General features: G+C 38.8%; 1 protein-coding gene across 8 annotated transcripts in view, besides 1 other annotated feature; it reads right to left on the bottom strand.

Moving 5' to 3' along the window:
- SH2D4A (SH2 domain containing 4A) overlaps positions 1 to 20,549 on the bottom strand; it is an 82,526-nt gene that overhangs the window by 13,360 nt on the left and 48,617 nt on the right. For 5 of the 8 annotated variants that reach the window (NM_022071.4, NM_001363110.2, NM_001174160.2 and 2 more), the window contains 2 exons: positions 18,577 to 18,787; positions 9,199 to 9,329 (listed from right to left, as the gene is read on the bottom strand). In NM_022071.4, coding sequence (NP_071354.2) covers positions 9,199 to 9,329; positions 18,577 to 18,787 — 342 coding nt within the window. The remainder of the gene's footprint in view (positions 1 to 9,198; positions 9,330 to 18,576; positions 18,788 to 20,549) is intronic. The other 3 variants (NR_156444.2, XM_047422080.1, XM_047422079.1) reach the window with 1 other exon arrangement.
- Positions 10,202 to 10,363: a silencer, noted in NCBI's record as "fragment chr8:19230007-19230168 (GRCh37/hg19 assembly coordinates)". NCBI's record gives its function as "represses an EF-1alpha promoter that drives an FKBP-Casp9 reporter gene in an ReSE screen in K562 erythroleukemia cells {active_cell/tissue: K562}" and the evidence as "EXISTENCE:reporter gene assay evidence [ECO:0000049][PMID:32094911]".

Below are 20,549 nucleotides of genomic sequence, written 5' to 3'. Positions count from 1 at the left end.
ACCCTGTCTCAAAAAAAAAAAAAAAAAAAAAAAAAGAATCTTAAAAGCAGCAAGAGAGAAAAGAGAGAGAAGCAACTCATCACATACAAAGGATGGTCAATAAGATTATCCCCAGATTTCTCATCAGTAATTTTGGAGGACAGACAGCAGTGGGCCAATAAAGATGCTCCTCAACTTATGATGGCAGTACATCCTGATAAACCCAGCATAAGTTGAGAATATTATCAGTCAAAAATGCACTTAATACACCTAACTTACAGAACGTCATAATTTGCCTAGCCTACCTTAAACATGGTCAGAATATTTACATTACCCTACAGTTTGGCAAAATCATCTAACACAAAGACTATTTTATAAGCGTTGAATATCCCATGTAATTTATTGAATATTGTATTGAAAGTGAAAAACACAATGGTTGAACAGGTACTTGAAGTATGGTTTTTACGGAATGTGTATCACGTTCACACCATCATAAGGTAGAAAAATCTTAAGTCAAACCATTGTAAGTGGAGGACTATCTGCATATTCAAAATACTGAAAGAAAAATAACTGTCAATCAAGAATCCTACTGATTCTTGATTCTTTTGGCCAATCCTGGCAAAACTGTCCTTTAAAAGTGAGATGCAAATTAAGACATTTCTGGGTAAACAAAAGCTAAGGAAGTTTGTTACCACTAAACCTGCCATGCAAGAAATGTCCAAGGATGTTACATGGTGAAATGAAAGGATGCAGACAGTAACTCAAAGCCAAATAAAGAAACAAGTAACTCAATAAAGGTAAATACATAGGCAATTATAAAAGCTAGTATTATAGTAACATGGTTACTATCAAAATTAATCCAGCAGCATATCAACAGGATTATATACCATACCAAGTAGGAGGAATGCAAGATGGTACAATATATGAAAATCGATCAATGTAACACACCGTATTAACAGGATAAATGAAAAAAAAATACATGCTCATCTCAATTAATGCAGAAAAAGCATCCGACAACATGCAATACCCTATCATGATAAAAACTCAGCAAACTAGGAAGAGAAGGAAAGTCCCTCAACATAGTAAAGGCCATGTATGAAAAACCCACAGCAAACATCATACTTATGTTGAATGACATTTCTTCTAACATCAGGAATAAGGTAGGGATGCCCACTTTTGCCATTTCTATTCAACTATTCCTGTAAGTTCTAGCTATAGCTGTTAGATAAAATAAATAAAAGGTATTCAAATTAGAAAAGAAGTTAAATTATCTCTGTTGTCAGATGATACAATCGTCTATGTAGAAAACCAGAAAGATTCCACAAAAAACTGTTAAAACTAATAAATGAATTAAGCAAAGTGGCAGGATACACAGACAACACACAAAAATCAGTTGCATTTCTATACACTAACAACACTCTGAGAAGGAAATTACAAATCAAATTCCATTTACATTATCATCAAAAAGAATACTTAGAAATTAACCAAGGAAGTGAAAGACTTATACAATAAAAACTATAAAACACTGATGACTGGACACAGTGGCTCATGCTTGTAATCCCAGAACTTTGGGAGGCTGAAGCAGGTGGATCACTTGAGGTCAGGAGTTCAAGACCAGCCTGGCCAACATAGTGAAATCCTGTCTCTACTAAAAATACAAAAATTAGCCAGGCATGGTGGTGGTTGCCTTTAATTCCAGCTACTCAGGAGGCTGAGATGGGAGAATTGATCGAACTTGAGAGGTGGAGGTTGCAGTGAGCAAAGATCATACCACTGCACTTCAGCATTCCAGCCTAGGCAACAGAGCAAGACTCCGTCTAAAAAAAAAAAAAACTACAAAACATTGCTGAGATAAAGAAGACATAAGTAAATAAAAACACATCCCATGTTCCTGGATTAGAAGACTTAAGACAACAATACTATGCAAAATGATATACAGATTCAATGCAATCCCTACCAAAATCCCAACATTTTTTGTAGAAATAGAAAAACCCATCCAAAAATTCATGTGGAATCTTGAGACCCCAAATAATCAAAACACTCCCGAAAAAGAAGAAAAAACAGGAAGACGTCACACATACTCATTTCAAAACTTACTACAATGCTACAGTAATCAAAACAGTGTGGTACTGGCATACAGACAGACTTATAGACCAATAGATTATAATAAAAAACTCAGAAATAAAAATGCATAGACATGGTCAAATGATTTTTGACAAAGGTGCTAACACCATTCAGTAGGGAAAGGGCAGTCATTTCAACAAATGGTGCTGGTAAAATTGCATAACCGCATGTGAAAGAATGAAGTTGGACCCTTATCTAACATCATATATAAAAATTAACTCAAAAGGGATCAAAGACTTAAATGTAAGACCTAAAACTGGAACACTTTTAGAAGAAAACAGAGGGCCAAATCTTCACAACATTGGATTTGGCAGTGATTTCTTAGATATGACACCAAAGGCACGAGCAACACAAGAAAAAAAGAGGCAAATCGAATTTCATGAAAATTAAAGCATTTTATACATCAAAAGACACTCTCAACAGAGTAAAAAGGCAACTCATAAAACAGGCGAAAATATTTTTAAATTAGATATCTAATAAAGGATTGATACCCAGAATATACTGTATAGAAAACTCTCATAATTCAACAAGAACCCAATCCAAAACTGGGCAAAGAGTTCAAGTAAACATTTGTCAAAGAAGATATACAAATGGCCAATAAGCAAATGAAAAGGTGCTCAACATTACTAGTCATTAGGGAAATGCAACTCAAAACCGTAATGACATATGACCTCACACCCACTAGGATGGTTGCTATGAAAGAGAGAGAGAAAAAAAGGATAACAGGCACAGTGACTCATGCCTGTAATCTCAGTTCTTTGGGAGGCTGAGGAGGGAGGAATGCTTGAGGCCAGGAATTTGAGACCAGCCTGAGCAACACAGTGAGATCCTGTCTCTACAAAAAATAAAAAAATTAGCCAGTCATGGTACTGGAACTTGTAGTTCCAGCTGCTCGGGAGGCTGAGGTGGGAAGATTACTTGAGCCTAGGAGTTTGAGACTGCAGTGAGCTCTAAGTGTGCCACTGCGCTCCAGCCTAGGCAACAGAGCAAGACCCTGTCTCTTAAAAGAGAAAAAAGGAAAAAGAAAAATAACAAGTGCTGGCAAGGATGTGGAGAAGCTGAAATTCTTGTGCACTGCTGGTGGGAAGGTAAAATTAGTATGGCATAGCCACTGTTGGTGGGAAGGTAAAATAGTATAGCATAGCCACTATGGAAAACAGTATGGCCAGTTTCTATAAAGTTCAACCGTAGAATTACCCTATAATCCTGAAATTCCACCTCTGGGTAAATACCCAAAAGAACTGAAAGCAGAGTCTGGAAGAGCTATTTCTACACCTGTGTTCTCAGCAGCACTATTCACAATACCTGAAACATGGAAGCAACTCAAGAGTGCATCAACAGATAATGGGTAAGCAAACTGTGGCCCATCCATAGAAGGGAGTATTATTCTGATTTGAAAAGGGAGGAAATTCTGACATGCACAACAACATGAGTAAATCTTGAGGACATGACACTAAATGAAATAAGCCACTCACAGAAAGACAAATACTGTACAGTTCTACTTATATGAGGTATTTAGAATAGTCAGATTCATAGAGAAAGCACCATGGTAGTTGCCAGGGGCTGGGGGTTGGTGGTGAATGGAGCATTATTAAATGGGTAGTTTCAGTTTTACAAGGTGAAATAACTTCTGCAGATGGATGGTGGTAATAGCTGTAGAAATTTTTTTTTTTTTTTTTTTAAGGCAGGGTCTGTCTTCCAAGCTGGAGTGCATGGCGTGATCTTGGCTCACTGCAACCTCTGTCTCCTAGACTCAAGCGATCCTCCTGCCTTAGCCTCCCAGGCAGCTGGGACTACAGGCATGCACCGCCATGCCTGGCAATATTTTTTTTTTTTTTTTTTTTGGAGAGATGGGGTGTTGCCATGTTTTTTTTGTAGAGATGGAATTTGCCATGTTTAAGTTGCTGATCTCAAACTCCTGGGCTCAAAGGATCCGCCTTCCTTGGCCTCCCAAAGTGCTGGGATTATAGATGGGAGCCACCACACATGACCAGTTGTACAGTATTATGGATATATTTAACACTGAATGGTACACTTAAAAACGGTTGTCCCAGCCATTTGGCAGGCTGAGTAGGGTGGATCACCTGAGGTCAGGGGTTCGAGACCAGCCTGGCCAACATGATGAAACCCCATCTCTACTAAAAATACACAAGTTAGCAGGGCATGGTGGCAAGCCCCTGTAATCCCAGCTACTCAGGAGGCTGAGGCAGGAGAATTGCTTGAACCTGGGAGGCAGAGGTTGTAGTATGCCAAGATCGTGCCACTGCACTCCAGCCTGGGCAACAAGAGCGAGACTCCATCTCAAAACAACAACCAAAACAACAAAGAACTGTGAAGGTGGTAATTTGTATATAGTGCATACTTTTACATAATAAATAGAGTCTCCATGTCTATTCTATGCAAAAATAAAATATGGGTGGATTGTGCATGATACAACAAGCAGAAACTATAAAGGAAAAATAGCTAAATTTAACCTCATTGAAATGAAAAACTTATCTCCCTTAAAATGTGTCAAAAGACTTAAAAGACAAGTCACAAACTAGGAGAATATATATGTAACCCATATAATTGACAAAGGATCAGTCTCCAGAATATGTAAAATCCTATAGGTCAATATAAAAAATCAATTCATTAGAAAAATCGTCAAAAGATCTGTATAAGTAATTACAGAAGACCTACTCATCCAGCCAGTAATATATGAGCTCAGTCTCACTATAAATTAGTACAAATTAAAATAAGAAGATTCCATTGTGAGGAATGGAAAATGAGAATCTGGCAGTATCAAGAACTGGCAAGTACATAGGGAAACAAATTCTCAAGTACAGCTGGTAGGAGTATATACTGGTATAATCAGTTTCGTGGGCATGTAGCAATATGCAGTGTAACTAAAGATGCACATATCCTACCTCCTAGGAGTTCTGATTCTAGATATATACTCTGAAGAAATGATCATATGTGTTTACAGCGAGACATGTTCAAGGGTGTATACATCATCTTCTGTAAGAGCAAAAAAGTTATAGCAAATGTAGGAGAGATGAATAATGATACGTGTGTAATATATGTGTGTGTATATATATATAATGTATATAATAAAACACTGCATGATAGGTAAAATGAATGAGCCTGTCTATGTGTATAAGCAAGGACAAATCCCAGGAACAATGTTGGGGGAAAACAATATGTGTAACATGATCCCATTTAAATGTTAAACACAATACTGTATATTTTTATTACAATATATATGTTTACAGCATATAAAATATGGATGGAAATCACAGCTTCAGAAGAGCAGTGAAGGATACAAGGAAAGGAAATGGGATTAAAAAGAAAACTAACAAAGGGGACCTTAATTCTATATGGCAGATTTTCTTTTCTGAGATGGAGTCTTACTCTGCTCCCAGGCTGGAGTACAGTGGCTCCATCTAGGCTGACTGCCAGCTCCGCCTCCTGCGTTCAAGCAATTCTCCTGCCTCAGCCTCCCAAGTAGCTGGAACTACAGGTGCCTGCCACCACATCCAGGTCATGTTTGGATTTTTAATAGAGACGGGGTCTTGACATGTTAGCCAGGCTGGTCTCGAACTCCTGACCTCAAGTGATCTACCTGCCTTAGCCTCTCAAAAGCACTGGGATTACAGGTATGAGCCACCATGCCCGCCCTGGCAAGTTTTACTTCTTAAGAAAAACAGATATGAAGTAAATATGGCTGTTAATATTCATTACACCTGGAGAACAGATACAACATTTGTTATATCACTGGTGTTGTATTTTTCTTGGTACTTTGTGTTTAAAATATTCCATAAGAAAAATCATTTTTTAATGAAGTAAAGGGAAAAAATTAAAATTTGTATGATCTTTCATGCCTGTGGTTTTGAGGATTTCTGAGATGATTTTGCCTGATTACATTCTGAGAACTTAAATCTAGCTTCATTAAGGAGACAACTAACTGCTCATCTGAATGTTGTCTATAGCAAGCAGACCAGCACAGTCTCACCAAGAAAGTTGCCTTCATGCTTAATTTTATGGGTCAACTTGACTGGGCCATGGTCCCAGATATTTGGTCAAAAGTTATTCTGGATGTCTCTGGGAAGGATTTTTTGGACGAGATTTGTTTTATATTTTATTATTATTATTTTGAGACAGAGTAGCACTCTGTTGCCCAGGCCTGGAGTGCAATGGCACAATCTCAGCTCGCTATAACCTGTGCCTCCTGGGTTCAAGCAATTCTCCTGCCTCAGCCTCCCGAGTAGCTAGAATTACAAGTGTGCACCACCATGTCCAGCTAGTTTTTGTATTTTTAGTAGAGATTGGGTTTTGCCCCATTGGTCAGGCTGGTCTCAAACTCCTGACCTCAAGTGATCCGCCTGCCTCGGCCTTCCAAAGTGCTGTGATTATAGACATGAGCCACTGTGCCTGGTCTTGGATGAGATTTAAATGGGAGGACTTGGAGTAAAGCAGATTACCCTCCATAATGTGTGTGGGCTTCGTCCAGTCAGTTGAAGGCCTTCCTACGTCAAAGGCTGACCTCCCCCTGAGCAGGAAGGGATGCTGCCAGCAGGGGGCATTTGGATGGGAATAGCCATTCCTCCCCGCATCTCCAGCCTTCCCTCCTACCTTGTCAGATTTGGGACTTACCAAGCCTCTGTAATCACGTGAGTCAATTCCTTAAGAAGTCAGCCAAAGGAAGGTGTGCAGGAAGAGCAACTGCAAGAACCCTAAGGTAGGGACAAGTGTGGTGTGTCTGAGGGATGGAAGGGAGGCCTGGAGAGGTGACCGAGGCAGGTACAGTGGCTTGAGATGGGACTGGAGCAATAGACAGGGGCAGATCAAGTAGGCATTGTGGATCACAGGGAGGAGTTTGGAACTTTTTCATTGTAAATCTTAAATTTACAATTGTATAAATTTATGGGATACCAACTGATGTTATGATATATGAACCCAATGTGGAATAATTAAATCAAACTAATTAACACATCCATCACCTAAAATACTTAGCATTTTTTTTCTGGTGAGAACATTAGAAATTTACTCTTTTGGCACTTTTGAAACACACAATACTCTATTAACTACATTTATCATGCTGTGAAATAGAACACTCTGTTCTCTTCTCTGCTTCCCTAACCCTCCCCATCCCCTATGTTCCTTCTCTCCATTGATAGCCCAGCCACCTTCCTCCCAGCCACAAAAGCCAGAAATCCCAGTCTTCAATCACTTTGTCCTCTCCTACCCACTCACATCCTTACCTTGAGCTTAATTGAGAGAAAAAGATGAAAGCATAAAACTTTGTGGAGTGAAAAATTAGGCAACCAAAATAGCATCTTATGAAGGGTAACTCATGGTGGATGTGACAAAGAAAAGATGATAAACCTATAAAGGGCTACCATCCTAATATTTCAGAACAGGCTTCCCGGTGATAAGCGATTATATTTCAAAGAGATAAGATGTGATGCATATTCTCTTTATCATGAAAATGTGAAACTGTATCTTCTTGAAACTGAAAATAAAGATGTATACTGACTATATGGCTATGTAATGGTTATTAATTATACAGTTTTATTTTGCTTATGAGTCTGAAAAATATGTGTACAAGTGAAAATAAATTGATAAGAATGCAAGTTATTTTACGTAAAACTCAAGAGTCATATTTTTTAACCAAACCTCCAACTCGATTTTTAGTCTCTGTCTTCCTAGCTTTCAGCCTTTCAAACAGAACTGCCTGTTAAAGTACCAGGGCTTTTAATAACAACCATCATTTTCCATTTCTTACTCCCTGCTGTTAAAAAAACTACCCTTCTTATAATCAGAGATGACAGCATCTTCTGTCCAAAGATACAGAAACTACAAAGTGGCTGATTTCCTCGGTGCTTATTTTAAAAAGGAAAGCAAGGCATTATTAGACAGCTGAGACAGCCGCGGCTAATGCATAATTGGCCCATGTTCTTTCTGTTCATCTTTGACACCATCATCTCTCTCTCATTGTCTTCAAGCAGAAAGGAAGGAGGCTTGCAACCTCATCCTGGGAAGGAGAGGGGACTCCTCTGAGATGGATACTTAACAAAGTCTGAATCACCAAAGAACACATACTTCCAAGAGACGCCAGACAGTTCTTCTGTGACGTTCTGACCACACAAGCAGCGCTTTAGGAGAAAGCCTGTCACAAATAGCTATTCCTTTTAGAAGAGTTTCCCATGATATGTGTTTGGGAGTTTCCTTTTTGTGGGTATATTTCTGTGTGAGATGATACTACTTTGAGGAAAGATGCCTTAAACATAATGCAAACCAAGACATGCTTAGGACAAACATACTCTGGGAGGGGACTGTATTTTTGTTTTAAAGCACCTTTTGTTGTCCATATAGCCAATTAGTCCAATTCAACCACAGACCTTATGGAAGTCAACTAAGGCAAGAAGCCACTCACTTTTCTTGAGATCCAAGAAACAGAGGGGCCTGTGAAGTATCTGCTGGGTGGAAGAGGGGCTTGAATCAAGTTTCTTGGGTCAAATACAGAAAATGTTTACTAGCTGATATCTGCTCAGGATCCAACCACCTATGTTACACACTCAACTACATACTGGAAGCAAGGAATCAAAACTACAGAAGTTTTCACTTCCAAGACCACAAAGTTCAACTCCTTCATTTAACAGATGGGGAAAATGAGGCTTAAATTGATTTCCTACGGAAAAAGTAATGATTTGTTCAAGGTTGCTCAGCCAGTGTCCTGTCCAGCACATTCCCACACCCATGACTGTGTGTCCCTCGGTGAAAGGAAGACGTGGCCATTTGATGGAAGTCACAAACAAGCACCCTAGTGGTAAGTCACCAGGAATGCCTCTTTGCCCTCCCATCTGATGCATTTTATTTGTGGTGATAAGTCTGCCCCACAGTGCATACAGTGCCCATGAATGCTGACTGCTTTCTAAACAGTCATGAGAATGCAGCTTACTGAGGCGTCTTTGAAAAACTGCTTTGTGAAATAATCTGAAAGACTCTTTTTGGGCAGCACCAATAAATGGAAGCTTTTATTCTGGCTTCCTGGTAGATTAGCACAGCTTCATCCGCCCTAAGACGAAACACCATTGAGGAAATCTCTGCACTCACCATGGAACCAGGGGGCTATGGTGTCTGAGGTTTTCTGGTAGCCCGCTCGAAGTGGTAGCTGCTCCTCTTTAAACCACCGGATGATGTCCTCTTGGGCAGAGCTGGACAGTGTCCTCACCACTCCCTGATTTCTGTTATTTATAAAAGTTTTTCAAGTTAGATTTAACTAATTTGAAAATAATGCCCTCAAAAGTCATATATATATATATATATATACACACACACATACATATACATGCATATATATACATGCATGTCTGTAGACACCAGAGGTGCTTTATACATGCAAATATATATACATATATATATATATACACATGTGTGTGTGGGGGTGGGGGGAGAGAGAGAATGGGAGGGAGAGGGAATTATACACATTTCCAGATCTAATTCAATGACCTCAGCTAACAGGAGGCTGGAGCCCTGACACACTACCATTATACACCTCCTCAAGGGCAGAAGAGGAAGGAATATAAATCTGTCACTTGTGCTTCCAGTCTTAAAGGGCTAGTTATAGAAATGAGCCACTGCTGTGTTAACACACAGATTTAAGTTCATTTGTATAGGAATTATAAGCTCCATTAACTTCCAATTAACATCTGAGAAAATAAGCATTAAAAGGCAAAATACACTTTTACCCCAGCACATTTTCCTGGAAAGCAGGTATTTGCAAACAATAGAAATCAAATGCAATAAGATAGATTTCTTTCCTAATGTTTGCATTATTTGATTTTCTCTTCTCTTTCCACTAACCTCCCTGACTTGCTTTATCCTCTTCCACACTTTGATGACATTTAGTTCTGCTAAAAAAAAAAAAAAGTAAAGAAATACAAAGTAAAAGGAAGAAGAGTATTTGAAGTTTGAAAAGACAAAGATACAGGCAGCAGAATCATTTTGAAATAGATTCAGTAGCAGAACCTAAGTTCTAGGATGTAAGTCAATTTCTACTACAAAGAGTAACCTTGCAATGTAATAAACAGACTTCCAAGTCCTACTCAACAGCGTACTAATTTTGAGCAGAATTCAATTTAAACACAACAACACCACTGCAGTCAGTGAACTATCCTGTCTGTAGAGGCACCTGCTGGGAGACAAGCGTCTATCTGAGCCAATGAGATGTGCTCTCCAGCCACTCTCCAAAAACAGATGCTGATGGGGTCCAATATCAGCTCCATCCCCTCCCACCACTAAAGCCAAGGAAGTATCCATTCCCTGCAGGGATGCACTAGGAGACACACTTGTCTGGGTCATTAAAACAGTCTTCTGTACTGGAGTCCCTGACCAGCTTTCCCACACAGCCCCTGTACCCTCCTTGAGTTCTTCCTCAGGTCCATCAGGGAGGGAGAGCTGTGTAAATCATAGAGCCCTTGGGAGAGCTGCAGCAAGCCTGGACTTGGAGCGCCCTCTAGTGCTGAGATGGCTGCAGTGGTCACAGGCTCAGGAAACAATTTAAGAATTCTAAGTTGCTTTAGAATTTCTGGAAGGGCCTCTGAAAGACAGGCACAAATAAAGCCAGGCTGTGGAGAGTGGAATAAAAGCCTAATCCTTAAATGTGCAGATATTGTCACACATACACAAGCATCAAGAAGACTCAGGACAATATGACCTCACCAAGTGTACAAAATAAGATACCACAGGTCAAGCCTAAAGTCATAGAGATGTGTGATCTCTGAAACAATTCAAAATAGCTGTTTTAAGAAAGCTCAACAAACTTCAAGAAAGAACAGAGTCAATTCAAAAATTTATCAGGGAAATGTAGCAGAAAGACTGAAGTAATTTTAAAAAATCAAATCCTGGAGCCGAAAAATGCAATGAATAAAATGAAAAATGCAATAGAGGGTTTCAACAGTACACTTATTAGTGAGCCAGAAGACAGGCTATTTGAAAATACACAGAGATAAAAAAGAAAACAATGACATGAAGAAAGCTTATGGGGTCTGTGGGACAACATCAAAAGAGTAAATATTGGAGTTATTAAAGAGGGAATTCAGGAAGACAAAGGGGTTAAATGCTTATGCAAAGAAATAATAACAGAAAACTTTCCAAACCTGGAAAAAAATTAATAGCCAAGCATAGGATGATCGAAGGTCACCAGTCAGATTCAACCTACATAGGAATACCCCAAGACATATTATAATCAAACCCTCAGAGTGCAGAGACAAATAGAGGATCCTAAAAGCAGCTAAAGAAAAGCAGCAAATAACATGTAAGACAGATCCAATACACCCAGCAGCAGACTTCTCAGAAGAAACCGTATAGGCCAGAAAGAAGTGAGATGATACATGCTGAGACTGAAGGAAAAAAAAAATGCAACCCAGAATACTGCACACAGCAAAGTATTCCTTCAGAAAAGGAAAGAGAAAGATTTTTCCACACAAACAAAAGCTGAGGGAATTTACCACTACCAGACTTGGCCTATAAGAAATGCTAAAAAATAGTTCTTCAAACATAAACTGGATGCTAACATGATTTTTGTTATAATACTATCATCATGATGTGTAAACCACTTATATCTTTAATATAAAGATATGAAGACTAAAAACGAACTTAATATGAAGACTAAAAAATGAACTATCAAAAATAACTTTAATAACAAGATAGGTAATATAAAAATGTAAGTCATCACTCAAAAATACAAAATGCAAGGAGAGAATGGAGGTAAAGTGTACAGTTTTTTTGTTTCTTTCCTTCACAAAGTTTGTAAGTCTCTAAAATAACTTGTTATAACTATAGGATGTTTTTGTAAGTCTCATGGTAACCACAAAGCAAAAATCTATAACAGATACACCAAAGATAAAAAGGAACCAAAATGTACTACTAGAGAAAAGTGCCTAACCACAAAGACTATAAGAGAAGAAAGGATCTACAGAATAACTAGAAAATAAGAAGGAAAATTGCCATAGTAAGCCCTTACATATCAATAATTACCTTGCATATCAATGGATAAATTCTCCAATTAAAAGGCATAGAGTGGCTAAATAAAAATGAAACAATACCAAATTATACATTGCCTGCAAGGGGCTAACTTCACCTGTAAGGACATGCATAGTCTGGAAGGGAAAGAATGGGGAAAAAACATTGTATGCAAATGGAAACCAAAAGACAACAGGAGTAGCTATATTTATATCATATAAAGCAGACCTGAAGCTGAAAACTGTAAGAAGAGACAAAGAAGGCCAGTATACAATAATAAAGAGTTCAATACAGCAAGAACAGTTATAAATATATATGTACTCAATTAACATGGAAGCACCTAAATTTAGAAAGCAAATATTAATATACCTACATAGAAAGACTGCAATACAACAATAGTAGAGGACTTCAACACCCCACTTTCTACAATGAACAGATCATACCGACAGAAAATCAACAATTAAACCACACTCTAGAATGTACCTAACAGACAATTATAGACTATTCTAATCAACCAGCTGCAGAATACACAGTATCTCAACAGCAAATAGAATACTCTCTAGGAATATGTTAGGCCACAAAACAATTCTTAAATTGTTTTAAGTTAAAACTTATCAAGAAATCAGTAATAGGAGGAAAACTAGAAACAAATATGTGGAAATTAAACATGCACCTGAACAACCAATGGGTCAATAAATAAATTTCAGAAACCAAAAATGTTCTTGAGACGAATGAAAATGAAAACAACATACCAAATCCTATGGGATACAGCAAAAGCAGTTCTAAGAGTGATGTTTATTCCAATAAACACACATATCAAAAAAGTAGAAAGATATCAAATAAGTAATTTTATTGTTGTACCACAAGAACTAGAAAAACAAGAACTTGATGCAACATTAGTTGAAGGAAATATAACAAAGATCAGAGCATAAATAGATAAAATAGAGACTACAGAACTGTGCAAAATATGAATGAAATGAAGAGTGGTTTTAATAACAAAACTCACATAAGTTTAGCTACACAAAGAAAAAGAGATGACTCAAATAAATAAAATCAGAGATGAAAAAGGAGACATCACAACTGATACCACAGAAATAAAAAGATCACTAGAGACTATTATCAACAACTGTATGTCAACAAAATGGAAAACTTGGAAGTAAATCAATAAATTCCTGGACACATACAACCTACCAAAATTCACTCATGAAAAAACAGAAAACTTAACAGACCAATAATGACTAACGAGACTGAATCATTAATAAAGTGTCCTATCAAAAAAAGCCCAGGACCTGATGGATTCACTACCAAATCCTATCAATCATTTAAAGAAATACTAATACCAATTCTTCTCAAACTACTGCAAAAAACTGAAGTTGGAGGAATTCTTCCTAACTCATTCTATGAAGTCAGCATTACCTTGATATCAAAACCAGACAAAGACACAACAAAAAAAGAAATCTAGAGGCCAATATTCCTGATGATGATGAACATAGATACAAAAATCCACAACAAAATACTAGCAAACCAAATCCAACAGCACATCAAAAACATCCTTCACCATGTTCAAAGGAAATTCATCTCAGGGACGCAAGGATGGTTCAACATAAACGAATCAATGAACATGACACATCACATTAACAGAATAAAAGACAAAGACCACAAGATCATCTCAACAGACACAGGTAAAGCATTTACTAAAATTCAATATCCCTTCATGATAAAACCTTTAAACACATTAAGTACAGAAGGAATGTACCTCAACCCAATACAGGTCATATATGACAAAATCACAGTTTACATGCTGAAAGAGGAAAAATGGAAAGTTTTTCCTTTAAAACTTGGAACAAAACAAGAATGTCCACTTTCATCACTTTTATTCAACATAGTACTGAAAGTCCTAGGCACAGGAATGAGTCAAGAGAAAGCAATGAAGCACATCCAAATTGGAAAAGAGGAACTCAAATTGTCTGTTTGCAGATGACCTGATCTTACATACAGAAAACCCTAGAAGCTGCACCAAAAAACTCTTAGTCCTGATAAAATTCAGGGAAATTGTAGTATATGAAATAAACTTACAAAAATCAGTAGCATCTCTATGCATCAACAATGGACTAACAAAAAAAAAAAAAAGCAATTTTATTTACAATAGCAAAATAAAATAAAATAAAATAACTAGGAATAAATTTAACCAAGGAGGTGAAATGTCTTTACAAGAAAAACTATAAAACACTAATGAAAGGCAACAAAAAAATAGACATCCCATGTCCATGGATTAGAAAAATTAATAGTCAAAATGGCTGTACTACCCAAAAAGATCTGATTCAATGTAATTCCTATCAAAATACCAATGATATCTTTCACAGAAAAAGAAAAAACTTTCAAAATTTCTATGCAACCAGAAAAGACTACTACGAATTGCCAGAACAATTTGTAGCATAAGGAACAAAGCTGGGAGGCATCACACTAAATGACTTTAAAATATACTACAAATCTATAGTAATCAAAACAGCATGGTGCTGGCATAAAAACACACACATAAACAATGAAACAGAATAAAGAACCCAGAAATAAATCCACACATTTACAGTCAACTGATTTTCAATAAAAGCACCAAGAACACCTACTGGAGAAAGGATAGTCTCTTCAATATATGGTACTGAGAAAACTAGATAGTGACATGTATAAGAATGAAACTACCTACTCTTGCTATGTGCAAAAATCAGCTCAAAATGGATTAAAGACTTGAATATATGAGGCCATGAAGCTACCAAAAGAAAATACTGGGGAAACACTTGAGGACATCAGTCTGAGCAAGGATTTTTATTTTTAATTTGTTCATAGGGATGACTGTCTCCCTATGTTGCTCAGGCTTCTCTCAAACTCCTGGCCTCAAGCAATCCTCCCACCCCAGCCTCCCAAAGTGCTGGGATTATAGGTATGAGCCACCACGCCTAGCCCCAGATTTTTAAAAAGTAACACCTCAAAAGCACAGGCAACCGAAGAAAAATAGACAAATGGGATTATATCAAGCTAAAAAGGATTCTGCTGCAGCAAAGGAAACAATCAACAGAGTAAAGAGACAAGTTACAGAAAGGGAGAAAATATTCATAAACTATGTATCTGACAAAGCATCAATATAGGAACTCAAACTCAATAGCAAAAAAACAAATAATCCAAATAAGAAAAAACCTCAATAGGCATTTCTCAAAAGAAGACATACGAATGACCAACAGGTGTACGAAAAAAATGCCCAATACCACTAATCAGGGAAATGCACATCAAAACCACAATATCACCTTGCCCAGTTTTTTATTTTTGGTTATCAAAAAGACAAACCAAAAACAAATGCTGGTGAGAATCTAGAGAAAGGAGAACTCTCATAGCCTGCTAGTAAGAATATAAATTAGTATACCATTATAGACAACCATATGAAGTTTCTCAAAAAATTAAAAGTAGAACAAAAGCTCCAACAATCCCACTACTGGGTCTACGTCAAAAGGAAATGAAATCAGTATGTCAAAGAGATACTTGCACTCCCATGTTTATTGCAGCACTATTCACAATAGCCAAGATATGGAATCAACCTAGTTGTCCAACAATGAATCAATCAAGAAAATGTGGTGTATATACACAATAGAATATTATTCAGACATAAAAAGTATAATATCCTGTCATTTGCAATAAAAAAAATTGCTGGTGAGAATCTGGAGAAAGGAGAACTCTCATTGCCTGATGGTAGGAATATAAATTAGCATACCATCATAAACAACGGTATGAAGTTCCTCAAAAAAATTAAAGAGAACAAAAGATCCATAAAAAGAATAATGTCCTGTCATTTGCAACAAAATGGATGAACTAGAGGACATTGTTAAGTGAAATAAGCCAAACACAGAAGGACAAACACTGCATGACCTCACTCTTCTGTGGAATCAAAAAGGTTGATCTTTTTTGTTGTTGTTGAGACAGAGTCTCACTCTGTCATCCAGGCTGGAGTGCAGTGGTGTGATCTTGGCTCACAACAGCCTTCGCCTCCTGGGTTCAAGTGATTCTCCTGCCTCAGCCTCCAGTGTAGCTGGAATTACAGGTGCACGCCACACCAGGCTTATTTTTGTATTTTTAGTAAATACGGGGTTTCACCATGTTGGTCGGGCTGGTCTCGAACTCCTGACCTCATGATCCACCCACCTCGGCCTCTCAAAGTGCTGGGATTGCAGGCATAAGCCACCACACCCAGCCAGGTTGATCTTATAGAAGTATGGAACAGTGGTTAGCAGAGGCTGGGGAGAGTAGGGGGGATGGTAAATAGGGAGAGGTTGGTCAACTGGCGCAGTTACAGTGAGACAGCAGAAATAAGTTCTGCTGCTCTACTGCACAGCACGGTAACCACAGTCAACAGTAATGTACTACATACTTCAAAACAGCCAAAAGATAGGATTTTGAATGTTCTCACCACAAAGAAATGACAAGTGTTTGAGGTGATTCATATGTGAGTTATACTGATTTGATCACTACACAATATATATATATGTATCAAAACATCACACTGTATCCCATAAATACATACAATTATTGTGTCAATTAAAAACAAAATACAATTTATGAAACACAACCACCACAATCAAGTTTCGATGAACTACTAGTATTGTAATTGACCAACTTATGGTTCTTTACGCTTTTTATAACATGTGCTTCTGAGTTACGTGTGACATACTGTCAGATATATATATATATAGTTGTACATATGCATGTATGTGTATATATTATCCCTAATGATTTTCGGAGCATTTTCGAGAAAATATCCTATAATATTTACTTCCCTGGGAGGCAGACACTGCACACATACGAAGTTATATTATACATTCTCTTACTAGCTTCCAAATTAGGCTCTTTTTTGGGAAGTCCTTGGAGATCGAGCAAAACTCCACAGACACTGTAGGAGCCGGTCTGTCTTTTCCTGGGGTGGCTCTGAGGTGACCTCTGCCATCCCTGTGTCAAGTCCCAGCCCTAAAACCACCCAGTCTGACTCACAAAAAGCACTTCATGCAGTGTCTTCAGTTGGAAAAAATGAGCTAACTGAGCACAGCTGAAAATAGGAATTGCCCTTTTTTAAAGACCACCTTCATTGCTGTCAATCAAATATACTGTCCTTCAAAATGCTGTGGGACAGGGACATCTACAAGTCATTTCCATGCTACCTTTGGAAGAGACGGTGAACAGGAGTTAGCTGCAAAAACATCCCTGCTGAGGCTCTGTCGCCAACGTGCGGACAGACAAGCTCCAGCACTTAGAGCCGTGTGCACCTTTGTCAGCTGTTCTCACAATTAAGAGACTCCTATTTCCTGACTACATTTCTTGCTTTGTTGTCGGTAAGAGAAGAATCATTACCCAAACGATCACTTTGGAGATCATGGTCTTTACTGTAATTATTTCCACTTACTCCACTGAGTTCCACGTTGGTCCCCACTTCCCGAAACGGAACTTTCCAGTAGAGTAAGTAGAAATAATTACAGCAAAGAAAAACATCCGCCTTTGTGTTTCCCCTGAGGTCATCACTCCTGTTTAAAGACAACCTTGAAGATAACTACGACTCCAAGCAGGAGAAGAGTCTTATTTTTCATTTCTCCATAATCTTAGAGAAGTATTTCAAATTATTTTTAGTTTTTATTTCAGAATGCAAGGCTTTAGACAATTCTGTTTCTTTCAATCAACATTTGATTTTAATACTTCTTTCTAAATACTAGGATGTTAAAAATAAGATCAATAACCAGAAAAAAATTTAGAATCAGCAAACATAAGGGATGGGGGTTTAATAGCATCATTGCACTTTTCTACAGTTTTTCCAGAACAAATGGTTCTTCCTAATTCTTCCACAGCCTAGCAGACAATGGTATCTCCACCACCAAATAGACAATTCATCTAAAAAAGGAGGCTTTCCAAATTCTTAAAAGAGGAACTTGGCTATGTATCCGTGAATGAGAATTACCATCAAACCTTTAATCCTTGGCAGTGAAAATGTACTCCCACTGATCACACGAAAGTCAGCAAGCCTTTGGGTTCCTACTTTGATAATCTTTGACTAAGGGTGATCTTGGGCATCAGTGAAACCCCACTTGTTTCCTCTTCTCCCCTCACTGGCTCACCGGCTGCCTCTGGGGGGGAGGGGGGCGGGGGAGGGAAAGGGGAGAGTGGGGTAGGGACACGGGAAGTTCTCTCATTCCATGCACAGCTTTACTATTTCACTGGGTATACTAAGTATAACAGCTATGGACATTTGACAGCTAAAAAAGGGAGGAATGCCCGCCCAGATCACCCAGGAAGAAGGCTTAGACATGAACCTGAGCTACTTACACAGGCTGCCAGTTGGCCCTCCACACCCCATGGCAGCTCATACAATTCCCCTTTAATTTCAACGCTTATTCAAAGCCCATTGCAATGTTTATGCATAAACCCATCTGTGTGGCTTCTTACCTAAGAGGTTTTTGAGGATATGCCCCTGAGTTTAGGAACTGAGGCTTGGGTGGAAGGGGAGGTCTTTCTGGTTTCTGCGGAACACGCAAGGGGCTTTGCAGCCTCTCACCGCCTCTTCCTTTCTGGGCCCCGAGGGATAACCTCTTGTAGTCTTCTCGTGCTTGTTTAGCCAAGGAGCGTCTCTTCTCATCAGCTGCTTTGGATTTTCGCACTGGAAAAACAACGGGGTCGGAGAAAACCCTCATCAGCCCACAGAGCAGGTGAGAAGGCTCAGCATTCATTGCACAACGGGCAGCAGCGCAGGTTCTCAGCAGTTTGTTGTCTGCTTATAATAAGGAACAATCATTATCAACACCTATGATCCAGGCCATTAGGGCTTGCCCAGCGTTCGCTGCAGGATTCCTCTCTTCATACAGGACTGGGGGTTTTCTGAGAGGGAGAGAAAAGGAAGAGGAGGAAGAAGGGATGAGAGAGAAGTAGAGAAAGTGTGCAAGAATTTCCTGCAGTTGGCAAGACCAAGTGAGGATCCCCCGCCTGAGCATGGGTTCAAGCTGGCAGGGGTGCTGAGTAATAAGAGGCAATTGTCACGCCCTGCATGACTTATGTTCAGATGCAGTGTGCTTGACTCACTAGCAGAGATCAGGACTACTCAGTGGCATGGGGCTGTGCATAGGGTGAAGGAGCAGAGAGCAGGACAGAATGAGAAGCAACCTGACAGACAAAAAATTAAAGGGATGCTTAACCACAGGTAATTGTAGGACACATTAGTACACAAAAAAGTACCCCAAGTCTGCCTTTTAATATTACAGTCACTAGTGACTTAATGAGAGAAATAAATCCTGAGAAATGCATCATAAGGCAACTGTAACACAAGAGTATTTGTGTGTCTAAATACCCCCAACATAAGGCCGGGCACAGTGGCTCATACCTGTAATACCTGCACTTTGAGAGGCCAAGGTCGGTGGGTCACCTGAGGTCAGGAGCTTGAGACTAGCCTGGCCAACATGGTGAAACCCCAACTCTACTACAAATACAAAAAATTAGCTGAGCATGGTGGCAGGCGCCTGTAATCCTAGCTACTGGGGAGGCTGAGGCGGGAGAATCCCTTGAAACCAGGAGGCGGAGGTTGCAGTGAACTGAGATCACACCATCGCACTCCAGCCTGGGTGACAAGAGCGAAACTCCATCTCAAAAAAATAAAAATAATCAATACCCCCAACATAGCAAAGGTATAGTAAAAATATGGTATAGAGGACAAAAAAAAATGGTGCCTCTACATAAGGCACTTACCATGAATGGAGCTTGCAGGACTGGAAGTTGCTCTGGGATGAGTCAGTGAGTGAGTGCTCAGTGAATGTTAAGACCTAGGACATTACTACACACTGATGTTGACTTTGTAAACACTTTACACTTAGGCTACACTACATTTATAAAATTTATTTTAAAAATGTATGCAACCCATTATTTTGGGGTTTTATTATTATTTTTTGGTTTTCTGTATGTGTGTGTCTGTGTTTTTTTTGTTTTGTTTTGTTTTGTTTTTGAGACTCAGTCTTGCTACATTGCCCAGGCTGAAGTGCAGTGGTACGATCTCGGCTCACTGCAACCTCCGCCTCCCTGGTTCAAGCAATTCTCCTGCCTCAGCCTCCTGAGTAGCTGGGACTACAGGTGTACGCCACCACAACCAGCTAATTTTTGTATTTTTAGTAGAGATGGAGTTTCACCATGTTGGCCAGGCTGGTCTTGAACTCATGACCTGAAGTGATCCACCCACCTTGGCCTCCCAAAAGGCTGGGATTACAGGAGTGAGACACAGTGCCTGGCCTAAAAACTATATGCGACCCATCGTTGACCAAAACATCATACAGCGCATGACTACTTTGTAAAACAGAATTTTTTGTTATAGCAATGAGACTCAAATGCAGAATGTAAAAATGATTTTTATTGACTATATTTACACTTCAGGCAGTATT

The sequence above is a fragment of the Homo sapiens genome, chromosome 8 (genome assembly GCF_000001405.40).
Source record: "Homo sapiens chromosome 8, GRCh38.p14 Primary Assembly".
Taxonomy (NCBI): domain Eukaryota; kingdom Metazoa; phylum Chordata; class Mammalia; order Primates; family Hominidae; genus Homo; species Homo sapiens.
Note: the sequence above shows the minus strand (reverse complement) of the source record. Positions and strands in the feature narration are given on the sequence as shown.